Raw genomic sequence first — 15,803 nt, 5'->3', positions numbered from 1 at the left:
AGCCAGGATGGTCTCGATCTCCTGACCTCATGATCCGCCCGCCTCGGCCTCCCAAAGTGCTGGGATTACAGGTGTGAGCCACTGCACCCGGCCTGTAGAGGTTCTTAATAGGGTAAAAATTGCAACTGTTTGTCAATGGCAGATCTGTCACAAGCTTTTTCAGACTACAGTAATGAAGGCTATCTGTGATTCATAACTACAACCGCTGTTTCTATTGCCAAATGCCATTTTGGTTTATGACTATCATACAATGTGCCTAAAAGTTTTTTTTTTTTGTAATTGAGATATAATTTATATACAAATATTTACTCTTGATGGAAAAGATACAAAGTATGTTTTCTGACCACAGTGGGATGAAATTATAAATTAGTTAACAGGAAGAAATTTAGTAAACCCACAAATGTGGAAATTAAACAACATACTTCTATGTAACTAATGAGTCAACGAAGAAATCAAAAGGGAAATTAGAAAATACTTTGAGATGAATAAAATAGAAAATGATGCAGCTAAAGCAGTGCTTATAGAAGTTTATAGTTTTAAGTGCCCATCATAAAAAAAAAACAAGAATAAGGATCTAAAATCAGTAACCTAACCTTCCAACTTAAGATGCTGGAAAAAGAAGCACCCATTAAACTTAAAGCATGTGAAGGAAGGGAATACTAAAGATTAGAATAGAAATTAATTAAACAGAATAGAAAAACAACAGATAATCAACAAAACCAAATTTACTTCTCTGAAAAGATCAACAAAATTGACAAACCTTTAGTTATATTGACCAAGAAAGAGAGAGAAGACTCAAATTACTAGACTCAGAAATGAGAAGACCAGAAGATGGACATATTAGGAAAAAAAAGGAAAAGTGAGGATACTGTCGAGGGCGGTGGCTTATGTCTGTAATCCCACAGTTGGAGAGGTCAAGGCAGGAGGATCACTTGAGCCCAGGAGTTCAAGACCAGCCTGGGTCACATAGGAAGACCCCATATCTACATAAAACAAAAAAATTAGCCGGGTCTGGTGGCTTGTACCTGTAGTCCAGCTACCTGGGAGGCTGAGATGGGAGGATCGCTGTGCCTGGGAGGTTGAGACTGTAAGGAGCTGTGATTGTGCCACTGCACTCTAGCGTGGGTAGCAGAGCAAGACCTTGGGTCAGAAAAAAAAAAAAAAAAGACATGATTACAGACCTGGCAGAACTAAAAAGGATTATAAGTTAATATTATGAAAAATCATAGGCTGGGTGCAGTGGCTCACACCTGTAATCCCAGCACTTTGGGAGGCTGAGGTGGGCAGATCACGAGGTCAGGAGTTCAAGACCAGCCTGACCAACATGGTGAAACCCCGTCTCTACTAAAAATACAAAAATTAGTCGGGTATGGTGGTGCGTGCCTGTAATCCCAGCTACTCAGGAGGCTGAAGCAGGAGAATCACTTGAACCTGGGAGGCAGAGGTTGCAGTGAGCTGAGATCATGCCATTGCACTCCAGCCTGGGCGACAGAGCAAGACTCCATCTCAAAAAAAAAAAAAAAAAAAAAAGAAAAGAAAAATTATATACCAATAAATTAGATAACTTAGTTAAGTGGACAAATTATTAGAAAGACAAAAACTACTGAAAATGACTAAAGAAATAGACAATCTGAATAGATCTATGACAAGTAAAGTAATTGAATTAGTGATTAAGAAAACCAACTAAACAAATCCCTACAAAGAAAAGCTCAGGCCTCAATGGCTTCACTGGTGAATTCTACCAAATATTGAAATAAGAATTAATGCAAATTCTTTACAAACTCTCCCAAGAAATAGAACAGGAGAGAACACTTCCAAACTCATTCTATGAGTTACCAGAAACAGACAAAAGACATCACAAGAAACGAAAACTGCAGACCAGTGACTTATGAATGTGGATCCAAATATCTTTAACAAAATACTAGCAAATCAACTCCAGCAACATACAAGTAGGAGTATATACCATAATCAAGTGGGATTTATTCCAGGAATGCAAGGTTGGTTTAGTATCTGAAAATAAATGAATGTAATACACTATCGAGGATAAAAAACAAGATCATAACAATAAATGAAGAAAAAGCATTTAACAAACTCTTAACACCCTTGTATTATAAGAACACATAAAATATCTTGTAATATTTTTAGGCTTTAGGATAGAATAGGTCAGGAATAGATGGAACTTCCTGACCCTTGTAAATGGAATCTAAAAAAAAAACAAAACTGACAGGAAACATCATACTTAATTTTGACAGATTGAATGCTTTCCCCCTAAAATGAGAAACAAAACAAATAGGTCATTATATTTTTCTTCACTTCTGTTTAACATTGTACTAGAGGTTCTTGCCAGGGATATTAGGCATAGAAAAGAAATAAAAGTCCTCTATTTTGGAAAAGAAAAAGTAAAATTCTCTCCCCGTATTCACAGGTGACATAACCTTGTATGTAGAAAATCTTAGGGAATCCACTAAAAAACTGTTTGAAGTAATAAATGAGTTTAGCAAGATTGCAGGATACAAAATCAGCATACAAAATATAAATTGTATTTATATACACTTGCAGTGAACAATATGAAAATGAAATTAGGAAAATAATTCAATTACAGTAGCATCAAAAATAATACTGATGGCTGGGTGTGGTGGTGCCTCTTGCCTGTAATCCCAGCACTATGGGAGGTTGAGGCAATAGAATCTTTTGAGCTTAGGAACTGGAGACCAGCCTGGGCAACTCAGTGAGATCTCATCTCTACTAAAAATTGAAAAAATTAGTCAGGTATGGTGGCACTTGCCTGTTGTCTCCGCTATTTGGGAAGCTGAGGAGAGAGAATTGTTTGAACCTAGGAGGACAAGGCTGCAGTGAGCCTTATGAGCCTTGATTATGCCACTCCACTAAGCCTGGGCAGCAGAATGAGACCCTATCTGTATTAAAAAAAAAAAAAAACCCACAAAAGAAAACTTATGAATAAATCTAACAAAAGAAGCACCAGTAATATCCAGATACTATGGTACTATATGAAGATAGATGTAAAGATAAATGGAATAGAATTGAGAGTCAGGTCCAGGCATGGTGGCTCACGCCTGTAATCCTAGCACTTTGGGAGGCCGTGGTAGGCAGATCACTTGAGGTCAGGAGTTTGAGACCAGCCTGGCCAACATGGTGAAACCCTGTCTCTACTAAAAATACAAAAATTAGCCAGGTGTGATGGCACACACCTGTAATCCCAGCTACTGGGGAGGCTGAGGCAGGAAAATCGCTTGAACCTGGGAGGCGGAGGTTGCAGTGAGCTGTGATCACACCACCACACTCCAACCTGGGCGACAGAGTGAGACTCTGTCTCAAAAATAAAAAAAAAAGTATTGAGAGTCAAGAAATTGGCCGGGTGTGGTGGCTCATGCCTGTAATCCCACTACTTTGGGAGGCTGAGGTGAGCAGATCACTTGAGCCCGGGAGTTTGAGACCAGCCTGGGCAACATGGCAAAACCCCATCTCTACAAAAAATATAAAAACTAGCCACGAATGGTGGTGTGTGCCTGTAGTCTCAGCTAGTTGGGAGGCTGAGATGGGAGGATTGCTTAAGCCTGGGAGGTTGAGGCTGCCAGTGAGCCGAGACTGCGCTACTGCAGTCCAGCCTGAGTGACACAGTAAGACCCTGTCTCTAACAAAAGAAGAAGAAGGAGAAGAAATAAACTCATGTGTCTTTGGTCAACTGATTTTCTATATGGATGCCAGTACCATTCAATGGAGAAAAAAATTGTCTTTTCAATGCATGGTGTTGGGACAACTGTCTATCCACGTGTAAAAGAAGAAAGTTGGAAACTTACCTCACACCATGCAAAAATTAACTCAAAATGAGTCAAAGACCTGAATATATGTGAGCTAAAATTATAAACCCCTTAGAAGAAAATATAGTAGTATATTTTAGTGTCTTTGGATTTTGGAGTGGATTATTAGATTTAACAAAAGCACACGTTCTAAAAGAAAAAAGTAAATAAATTGGGTTTCACCAAAACTGAAAACTTGTTTTTCAGGGGACCCAAGAAGGTGAAAAGACAACCCACAGTATGGGAAAAAATATTTGTAAATCATACATATAATGAGGTAATTGTATTTTTGTTTTTTTTGTTTTTTTGAGTCGGAGTCTCACTTTGTCATCCAGGCTGGAGTGCAGTGGTGGCTTGACCTCGGCTCACTGCAACCTCTGCCTCCCAGGTTCAAGTGGTTCTCCTGCTTCAGCCTCCTTAGTAGCTGGGATTACAGGCGTGTGCCCAGCTGATTTTTTGTATTTTTGGTAGAGACGGGGTTTCACTGTGTTGGTCAGGCTGACCTCAAACTCCTGACCTCAAGTGATCCATGCACCTTGGCTTCCCAAAGTGCTGGGATTACAGCGTGAGCCACTTCGCCCAGCTGGTAATTGTATTTAGACTATCTAAGGAACTCTTACAACCCAATAATAAAAATACAAACAACCCAATTAAAAACATGACAGAGGAGGGAAAGTGGCAAATTAAAAAAAAAGTATTAAACTAACATGGGCAAAAGATCTGAATAGGTGTTACAAAAAATCTAATAATCCAGTGCCAAATAGATATAGAAAAAAGATAAACATACAACACAAAAGCTTAACATCACCTGTCACTAGGGAAATGCATATCAAAACCACAATGAGCTGGGTGCTGTGGCTCACGCCTGTAATCCCAGCACTGTGGGAGGCCAAGGCGGGTGGATCACTTGAGATCAGGAGTTCGAGACCAGCCTGGCCAACATGATGAAACCGTGTTTCTACTAAAAATACAAAAACTAGCCAGGCATGGTGGTGGGCGCCTGTAATCCCAGCTACTCGGGAGGCTGAGGCATGAGGCTCGAACCTGGGAGGTGGAGGTTGCAGTGAGCCAAGATCTTCCCATTGCATTCCAGCCTGGGTGACAAGAGCAAGACTCTTGTCTGAAAACAAAAAACAAAAAACCCACAATGAGATGCTATCTCACATTTCTAGGATGGCTGTAATAAAACTGCCTCCCAGGCTCAAGTGATCCTCCTGCCTCAGCCTCCCAAGTAGCTGGGACTATAGGTGCATGCCACCATGCCTGGCTAACTTTTGTATTTTTTGTAGAGATGGGGTTTTGGCATGTTACCCAGGCTGGTCTTGAACTCCTGAGCTCAAGAGATATGCCTGCCTCAGCCTCCCAAAGTGCTAGGATTACAGGAGTGAGCCACTGTGCCTGGTGTTCGCTCAGCTGCTTTCAAAAACAGTCTGGCAGTTCCTCAAAAAATTAAAAATAGCCTTACCATAGGACCCAGCTGTTCTGCTTGTAGATATCTACCAACAAACTGAAACATATTAACTGAGAAGTTTGTATATGAATTTTTTTTTTCCCCAGATGGAGTCACTCTGTCACCCAAGCTGGAGTGCAGTGGTGCGATCTTGGCTCACTGCAACCTCTGCCTCCTGGGTTCAAGCAATTCTCCTGCCTCAGCCTCCTGAGTAGCTGGGACTGCAGGTGCCCATCATTACGCCTGGCTAATTTTTTTGTATTTTTAATAGAGATGGGGTTTCACCATGTTGGCCAGCCTGGTCTCGAGCTCTTGACCTCAGGTGATCTGCCCGCCTCAGCCTCCCAAAGTGCTGGGATTACAGGCATGAGCCACTGCACCTGGCCCTATGGTTGTTTGTAGCAGCAGCATTCATAATAGTCAAAGGTGGGAGCAAGTCAAATGACCATCAGCTGATGAATTGATAAATAATGCACGTTAGAATATTATTTGCCCATTAAAAAGAATAAAATACCAATACACTCTACAGCTTCGTTGGAGTTTGAAAACATTATGCTAAGTGAAAGAAGCCAGACACGAAAGACCACCTATTACATGAGTCAGTTTATATTAAATTTCCATAATAGGTTAAGTCTATAGAGACAGAAAGTACGTTAGTGGTTGGTTAGGGCTTAGGCGAACAGAGAGATAGGAGGTTGATAGCTAAAGGGTACAGAATGGCTTTTTTTTTTTTTTTGCAGGAGGGGATCTTTCTGTAATGATAATGTTTGAAAACTGACTGTGGTGATGGTTGTGCATATATGTGCAGTACGGAAAAGCATTGAATTGGCCAGGTGCAGTAGCTCATGCCTGTAGTCCTAACGCTTTGGGAGGCCAAGGTGGGAAGCTCGCTTGAGTGCAGGTGTTCAAGATCAGCTTGAGCAACACAATGAGACCTCATCTGTGCAAAAGAACTAGCAGGTGTGATGGTGCACATCTGTAGCCCCAGCTACTTTGGGAGGCTGAGGTGAGAGGATTACTTGAGCCCAGGAGGTCAAGGCTGCAATGAGCTATGATGACATCACTGCGTTCCACCCTGGGCGACAGAGCGAGGCCCTGTCATTTATTCATTCATTCATAAATACATACATACATATACATACATACGCCTATACATACATACCATTGATTTGTACATGTTATCTGGGAGAATTGCGTACGTTTTCTGGGAGAATTGCATGGTATGTGTATTATATCTTATCACAGCTATTAAAAATTTATACTTCAGGCCTGGCATGGTGGCTCACACTTGTAATCCCAGCACTCTGGGAGGCCAAAGCAGGCAGATCACTTGAGGCCAGGAGTTTGAGACCAGCCTGGCCAACATGGTGATAACCCTGTCTCTACTAAAAATACAAAAATTAGCCGGGTGTGGTGGTAATCCCAGCTACCCTGATGGCTGAGGCATGAGAATCACTTGAACCAGGGAGGCAGAGGCTGCAGTGAGCTGAGATCACACCACTGCACCCCAGCCTGGGCGACAGAGTGAGACTCTGTCTCAAAATAAATAAATATAAGAAAAAAATTATACTTCACTGAATTTTGGTGAATTTTTCAACATTTACATTTTTTCCACGTTTTGGCTAATTTGAATAATGCTGCTATGAATATTCACTTACAAGTTTTTTGCTTTATATATATATATGTTTTCAGTTCTCTTGGATATATACCAAGGATATTCACTTACAAATTTTTGCTTAATACATGTTTTCAGTTCTCTTGGATGTATACTAAGGAGAGGAATTTTGGGGTCATATGGTAATTAAGTGTTTAAGTTTTTAATAAAATTGTCATAAAATACAGATTAACATAAAATTTACCATGTCAACCATTTTAAAACATATTGTTTAGTGGCATTAAGTATATTCACAAAGTTGTGTGATCATCACCACCCTTCATTGACAGAGCTCTTTTTGTTTTGCAGAAGTGAAACTCTATACCCATTAAACAATAACTCCCCATGTCCCCATCCCCTCGTCCCTAACAACCACCATTCTATATTCTGTTTTTATAAATTTGACTACTGTAGGGACTTCAGGTAAGTGGAATCACGCAATATTTGTCCTTTTGTGCCTAGCTTATTTTTCTTAGCATAATGTCCTCAAAGTTCATCCACATTGTAACATGTGTCAGAATTTTCTTCCTTTTTACAGCTGAATAATGTACCATTTAAGTAAATTGGAGAAATCATGCCATTTTCCCACTGAAGTAAATGTTTCATATGTATTTTTTTAAGGATATCAATTACAGCATGCATCACATAATAATGACATTTCAGTCAAGGATGGACTGCATATACAACAGTGGTCCCATAAGGTTATAATATTATATTTTTACTGTACTTTTTCTATGTGTAGATATGTTTAGATACACAAATACTTACCATTATGTTACAGTTGCCTACAATATTCAGTACAGTAACATGTTGTACAGGTTTATAGCCTAGGAGCATTAGGCTATATCATGTAGTCTAGGTGTAGTAGGCTTTACAATCTAGGTTTGGGTAAGTACACTCTGATGTTTGCACAATGATGAAATCACCTAATGATGCATTTCTCAGAATGTATCCTTGTTGGTAATTGATGCATGACTATATTTAGTTTTCATGTCTCTTTTGTTTTCCTTAATCTGAAAAGGTCACTCAACCTTTCTTTGTCTTTCATTACCTTGACATTTTTGAAGAGTGTAGGGCATTTATTTTGTAAAATGTCTTGCAATCTGGTTTTATCTGATATTTTCAGTTTAGATTCAGCCAATGCATTTTGACAAGAATATAACAGAATTTTGTGTCCCTCATAATGTATAACATCATGAGGCACAGATGACGTTTGACTTGTTCATGATGTTGCGTTTGATACTTGGCTTAGGTGGTGTCTGCCAGGTTTTGATTATAGAGTTATTTGATCCCCAAAATTAAAAATAGAATTGCCATATGATCCAACAGTTCACTTACGGGATATACCTCTGTAAGGGCTGCCATAACAAAATGCCACAGGCTGGATGGCTTAAACAACAGAAATTGCTCACGTTTCTGAAGTCTAGAATCTAAGATTAAGGTGCTGGCAAATTCAGTTCCTAGTGAAGGCTCTTTAACTGGCTTAAAGACAACTAACCACTGGCTGTGTGGGCATATGGCCTCTCCCCTGTGCATGAGAGAGAGCTCTCATAAGGACACTAGAGTCCCATCCTTATGACCTCATTTAACCTTAATTACCTACTGAAAGGCCCCACCTCCAAATGCAGTTATAATGTATTGCATTTCTTTTGTAACTATGACTGTTGGGTCATGAGTTCCTTAAGGAAACTCATTTTTCCAAAGAAGACATATAGATGGTCAATAATCCAATATGAAAAGATGCTTAATATCACTAATCACTAATCATTAGGGAAAGAAAATCAAAACCACAGTGAGATACCACTTCATACCCATTAGGATAGCTATTGCCAAAAAGAAAAAAAAAGTATTGGCAAGGATTGGAACCCTTGTGCATTGGTAGTAGTAGTGCAAAATAGTGCAGCCATTGTGGAAAACAGTATGACAGTTCCCTAAAATTCATGGGTTGGAAGAATTAATATGTTAAAACGTCCATATTACCCAAAATGATCTGCAGATTCAGTGTAATCCCTATCAAAATCCCAATATCATTTTTCACAGAAATAGAAAAAAAATCTTTAAAGTTTGTATGAAACCACAAAAGACTTAATAGCAAAACAATTTTGAACAAAAAGAACAAAGCCAGAGGCATTACATTCCCTATTTTCAAAATATAAAGCATTTGTAGTCAAAACAACATGGTACTGGCATAAAAACAGTACTAAAGGAACAGGATAGAAAGCCCAGAAACAAACCCATGCATTTATGGTCAGCTGATTTTTGACAGTGGTGCCAAGAACACACACTGGGTAAAGGACAATCTATTCAATAGATGATGCTGGGAGAAGTGGTCATTCACATGCAGGAGAATGAAATTAGACCCTTACGTCATACACATACTTGAACTGAGTGGATTAAAGACTTAAAACATACGACCTGAAACTGTAAAACTACTAGAAGAAAACACAGGGAAAGCTCTGTGGCATTGATCTGGGCAATGATTTTTTGTTGTGACTTTAAAAGAGCAGGCAACCAACCAACCACAAAAAATAGACAAATGGGACTGTATCAAACTAAATAGTTTCTGTACAAGAAAAGAAACTAAGTGAAGAGACAACCCATAGAGGTAAAAAAACAAAATGTGTAAACCATATATCTGACAAGGGCTAATATCCAAAATATATAAGGAATTCAACTAAGTAGCAACAACAACAACAAAACCTGGCTAAAAAATGGGCAAAGGACCAGAACAGACACTTCTTACAGATGACCAACAGGTTCATGAAAAAGTGTACAACATCACTAAGCGTCGGGAAAATGCAAATTAAGTGAGATGTCACCTCACATCTATTAGAATGGTTTTTATAAAAAAGATGAACAATAACAAGTGTTGGTATGGGGAGACAAGGAAACCCTCGTACACTGTTGGCGAAGATGTAAATTAGTACAACTATTTATGGAAAACAAGATGAAGGTCTCAAAAAACTAAAAATAGAACTAGCATGTGATCTAGTCATCCCACTTCCGGGTATATGTCTAAAGGAATTGAAATCAGTATGTTGAAGGGATGCTTGCACTCCAATGTTGATTGCAGCAGTATTCACAATAGCCAATGTATGGAATCAACCTGTTTATCAGCAGATGAATGGATAAAGAAGATGTAGTGTATAACATGCAATGGAATACTATTCAGCCTTGTAAATGAAGGAGATCCTGTCATTCATGACAACATGTATGAACCTTGAAGACATACTAAGTGACATAAGCCGAGCACAGAAAAACACATGCCACATGATCTCATTTGTGTGTGTAATTTTAAAAAGTTGAACTCAAAGAGAGTAGAGTGATGATCACCAGAGGCTAGGAGTGGTAGTAAAGTGAGGGAGGGGGGAGTTGCTGATCAAAGGTTATAAAGTTTCAGCTCAACAGGAGGAATAGGAGGAATAGGTTTTGAGATCTATTACATAGCAGGTGACTATAGTCCACAATAATGTATATTTAAAAATAACTAAGAGTAGGGAGGTGCAGTGGCTCATACCTGTAATCCTAACACTTTGTGAGGTCGAGGTGGGAGGTTTGCTTGAGTCCAGGAATTCAAGACCAGCCTGGGCAAATGTGGTGAGACTCTGTCTCTACAGAAGTAAAAAAAGTAGCTGGGCATGGTGGCTTGCACCTGTATTCTCAGGCTGAGTCAGGAGGATTGCTTGAACCCAGGAGTTCCAGGCTATGTGAGCTATGATCATGCCACTACACTCCAGCCTAGGTGACAGAGGAAGATGTTGTCTCTTAAAAAACAAAAACCTAAGTGAATATTTCAAATGTCTCACCACAAAAAATGATAGGTGATGGATATATGTTAATTAGCTTGATTTAATAATTCCACATTGCATACATGTATTAAAGTATCACATTGTATCCCAAAAATATATATAACTATGACTATAATAAAACATTAAAATCAAAAATAGATAATTTGTGGAGAGATACTTTGAGATTATGTAAATATGCTCTTCCTCATCAAACTACCCACCATTTTAGCAACTGTTATTAAATCTTGCCTGACTTTGTTATTACCATAAAGAGAGCTTGCCTCCCCTCCCTCCCTCTCTTCTTTCCTTCCTGCTTTCCCTCCCTTCCTCCCTCCACTTGCCCTTCCTCATTCCTTCCTCCTTCCTTCCATTTGTCTCCTGCTTTATTTACTATGTAATAGTATAATCATTATTTTTTGAAGTTTAAATTGTCTCTTTATAATAATTTTTATTTTTATTTATTTTTTATTTTTATTTTTATTTTTGAGAAAGAGTCTCGCTCTGTCACACAGGCTGGAGTGCAGTGGCGCGATCTCGGCTCACTGCAAGCTCCGCCTCCTGGGTTCACGCCGTTCTCCTGCCTCAGCCTCCCGAGTAGCTGGGACTACAGGTGCCCGCGACCATGCCCGGCTAATTTTTTTTGTATTTTTTTTTTAGTAGAGATGGGGTTTCACCATGTTAGCCAGGATGGTCTCGATCTCCTGACCTCATGATCCACCCGCCTTGGCCTCCTAAAGTGCTAGGATTACAGGTGTGAGCCACTGCACCCGGCCAATAATTTTTAAATACAGGATGTTACTCTGTTGTATTCTTTGTATCACAGTAGGAAGAAAGTCGTGCTTTTGGATTCTTTTCAAAGTTCTCATTTATCCTCTCCTTAATCATTTCACTTATTGGATAGCTAATCCTCATTTGAGAGATGAATAGATGTAGTTCAAAGACTTGACAAGAAATTAATGCAGTTTTCTTGTGTAGCATCTGCACAACTGAAATTGAGGGTCTTCTGCTTTCTTTCCTATTTGTAAAGATTTTTCTGGGAGACCAAAGTTCTTGTTAAAAGAGGGTATACATTAGAATCTGCATACAGAATACACCAAATTGTTATCTGTCCTTAAAAACTATTCATATCAAGGATCACCTGAGCCCAAGAGTTTGAGACCAGTCTGGGCAATGTGGCAACATCCCATCTCTACAAAAATTTTAAAAATTAGCCAGGTGTGATGGCACACACCTGTGGTCCCCAGCTACTCAGGAGACTGAGGTGGGAGTATCTCTTGAGCTTGTCAGGCCAAGGTTGCAGTGAATGCTGATTGCAACACTGCACTCCAGCCTGGGTGACAGAGCGAGACCCTTATCTCAAAAGAAAAAAAAAATCCATATCGATGCTGAATGGATCAGTATGTTATTTTTATCTTATTCAACTTCATTCTCAGATTTTGTTGATACACAGAACCATTTATTTTTTTAATATATAGCAAAATTGTAAATTAATTTTTATTTTTGACACAAATTGGTCTTATTATTGGGGATGTGGTTTCCTTACTTGCTCCATTAATATAAAAATTATGGCACTTCAATGGCCTGACAAAATGTGTAACACCCAAATAGCATCTGCAGACACTTAGCAATTTTTTTTAATTAATAAGTTTTTATCCAACAGTATAAAGAAAAGCAGTTTTTTTTGTTTTTTTTTTTTTTTTTTTTTTGAGACGGAGTCTCGTTCTGCGCCCGGCCAGAAAAGCAGTTCTTAATGATGATGACCTTGATGCAAGAAGTGACTTGTAAGGGAAGGACATCATAAAATTGTAATTGTTTCCCTGAGAGCATGAGACTCTCTTTTGGGCTAAGATTCAGTGTGCAGTAATACATTGATTGTGCATTATTGTTGCCTGGTTGACAGAAGCTAGAAGTATTTAGTTTATTGCTTGAAAATCAAAGTGTTTGTAACAGAGGTGCAATCAACAGTTTAGTCATGAGAAATGATGTTTTTATACTAAATATAAATAGTTCATTTGTTTTGTTTTTGAATTTTAGGGGGCGCGGTTTGAGACAGTCTTGCTCTGTTGCTCAGGCTGGAGTGCAGTGGCGTGATCTTGGCTCACTGAAACCTCCGCTTCCTGGGTTCAAGCAATTCTCTGGCCTCAGCCTCCCGAGTAGCTGGGATTACAGGTGTGTGCCACCACACCTGGCTATAAATTTTTTTTTTAAAGAAATGGGGCCTCGCTGTGTTGTCCAAGCTGGCCAAGTCCCATTCACTTTTCTCCGCACTAGTGACTCACTTTGAGAATCATTATCCATTAGTGGGTAATGTGACCAATTTCATGAGACGTAATTTTTTTTTTTGAAAAAAAATAAAATACAAGTACCAGAGTAAATCACAAGCTATAAGGTAAATATTGTTTTGTTAAACTTGCTGTATGTCTGTTTTTATGTACTGTCTTGCAATATTATGTGTTTCTTACTTTGGGTGCTAGTCAAAAGAAGTTTGAAATCCAGAGTTTTGTACCATTTTTATTACCTCATTTCTTCAAAGTATTTTTAATTTATGTTGCTATGTTATGCAAATAGCTTGTTTTAGTAGCATTGGACTAGGGTAATGCAGGAGGAAAACTGATAATTTATTAAAATTCGTGGTGAGAGGTGCTAAAATAAAAAATATTGATAGTACTAAATGTCAACAAGGATGTGGCACATCTAGAACACTTATGCAGCACTGGTGGAAGTGTAAATTAGTACAGCCATTATGGAAAACTATTTGGCAATATCTTCTTTTTTGGAGGCAGTATCTCACTCTGTCATCCAGGTTGGAGTGCAGTGGCATGATCATGGCTCACTGCAGCCTCCACCTCCGAGGCTCAAAGGATCCTCCTACCTCAGCCTTCTGGGTAGCTGGGACTATAGGTGTGTGCCACCACATGCCTATAGTCCCATTTGCCCAGGACAGTCTTGAACTCCTGGGCTCAAGTGATCCTCCTGCCTTGGCCTCCCAAAGTGCTGGGATTATAGGCATGAGCTACTGTGCCCAACTGGCAGTATCTTCTTAAGCTGAAGCATGTCTTGTTACCTATCAATTCTACTTCTACATATATATCCAACAAAAATGTGAACATGTACACCAAAAGCCACATACAAGAATAATCACAGTAGCATTATTCGAAATAGCCAAAGACTGGAAATAACTTAAATATTCATCAACGGAAAGGCTAAATAGATTTTCATGTATTTACAAATGAATACTATATAAGTAACAAGAATAAATGAACCATTGCTATCTGCCATACCTTGCATAAATCTTACAAACATAATAAGCCACAGAAGCCAGATGCTATTTGATTTCATAAAGTACAAAAATAAACAAATGAACCTGTGTGTTAGAAGTCAGGATAGTAGCTATTTTTGGTGGTGATGTGGTGAGGTTGTTGCTGGGAGGAGGAATGAGGGATATTTCTGGAGTGTTGGTTATATACTATTTAATCTGGGTGCTTGTTATATATGTGTATTTGTGAAAATTTATTGAGCTGTACACTTAAGATTTTGCATATTTCTATGGATATTAAAAGTTTTAAAAATTTATACATTTTTGTCTGGTTTTAAAATTTGAAAGCAAATAAAACGCAATCAGGGACGAATTTTAAAGTACCTACTCTGTACAAGGCAAAGTGCCTTTGTATTCCCAAAGCTATTGGGAATACAAAGATGAAAAACTAGGACTTTTATTTTCTAAGGACTCATTTTTTTTGAGAAGACCCGTACTCAAGTAACATGATGCTAGACAGACTGTCCTAAGAATATAGGTCTTGAAATCACCCCTAAGGTTGCTGCAATGCTTTTGTTTCTGGTCTTGTCTGTGTTTGTTAAGATATCTTAATCATGTCCTTTTTTTCTTTTTCTTTTTTTCTTTTTTTTTTTTTTTTTAATAGCATCTGACAGATACGTCTCATGGTGTAAGAAATAAGTGCCTGCAGTTACTTGGCAATCTTGGCTCTTTGGAGAAAAGTGTCACAAAAGATGCAGAAGGCCTAGCTGCCAGAGATGTCCAGAAGATTATAGGGGATTACTTCAGTGACCAAGACCCACGTGTCAGAACAGCAGCTATAAAAGCCATGGTAAATGTGATTATGGAAACTAGTTGGGGCTAGTGTTCATTTTTGTTTTTTAAGTTTATAGCTAGTGCTGCCTTGGATACATTGTAAATTCTTCAGCATATACTTTCAGGAGGGTATTGGTGGTGGCCTCGCAGAACTCAGTGACACACATTCCTGTATACAAGTGTGCTTTTTTGGCTTTCTCTGGTAGCTTTCATGTGTATTTATGAAACATGGAAAGCACAATAGGAACCTGTTATAATTCCTTCGACTTGGAGGCATATGACTTGGTATGATATTATAATAGGGGGAGGTGGTGTTAATCATTTTTTCTTTAGGCTTCATATCATTATTTCATATTTTTCTAATACCTTCTTGGGACAGTCCATGGGTTAGATTTGTGAAATGCTTGAATGCTCCTATTGAAAGACGACAAGGTTTCTTATTTATATAGCACTAATTTTGGCTAAAAGGAACCATGTTAGCCTGATACAATAGGGGAAAATATGTGAGATTGTGGGGAGACATTGGAAATATTGCTCTTTTCCTCCCAAGCACTTAAACTATATATTTATTATCTAGTTGCAGCTCCATGAAAGAGGACTGAAATTACACCAAACAATTTATAATCAGGTACCTTATATGATTACTGTCTGGAAGGGGTTGGAGGTATCATGAAGCTGGGAGGGCGGCACACAGGTTCTCAGAATTTGAAAACGTAAGGACTTCGCTAGTTAATAGTGGCAGCGTTGATTGGGATGGATGTGAAGTCATATTCAAAACATACTTTTCAGGAAGAGAATGGAGGTTATGTAATTAAATAGCGCTAGTACATGTGAAAAGGACTTTTAGGAGGATTTACAAAGTTCAGTATGAGAATGAGAGTACCTGAAGAAAAGTGTAGCATTTAGAATAAGGAACGTGTTAGTCTTTCTGATCACTGTTTGGTTGGGCCGTACATGAACTCATTTCTGGGCACCACACTTCACAAACTAGAGTGTGTCTGGA

General features: G+C 38.7%; 1 protein-coding gene across 7 annotated transcripts in view; it reads left to right on the top strand.

The window, feature by feature from the left end:
• INTS4 (integrator complex subunit 4) overlaps positions 1-15,803 on the top strand; it is a 120,307-nt gene that overhangs the window by 18,900 nt on the left and 85,604 nt on the right. For all 7 annotated transcript variants that reach the window (XR_002957208.2, XR_001748036.3, XM_017018560.3 and 4 more), the window contains exons 5-6: positions 14,631-14,816; positions 15,378-15,428. Coding sequence is in view for 5 of the 7 variants with exons in the window: in XM_017018560.3 (XP_016874049.1) it covers positions 14,631-14,816; positions 15,378-15,428 (237 nt within the window). In the remaining 2 variants the exon portion in view is untranslated. The remainder of the gene's footprint in view (positions 1-14,630; positions 14,817-15,377; positions 15,429-15,803) is intronic.

This window comes from Homo sapiens, chromosome 11 (assembly GCF_000001405.40).
Source record: "Homo sapiens chromosome 11, GRCh38.p14 Primary Assembly".
NCBI classification, from domain to species: domain Eukaryota; kingdom Metazoa; phylum Chordata; class Mammalia; order Primates; family Hominidae; genus Homo; species Homo sapiens.
This window is presented reverse-complemented; position numbering and strand designations above follow the sequence as displayed.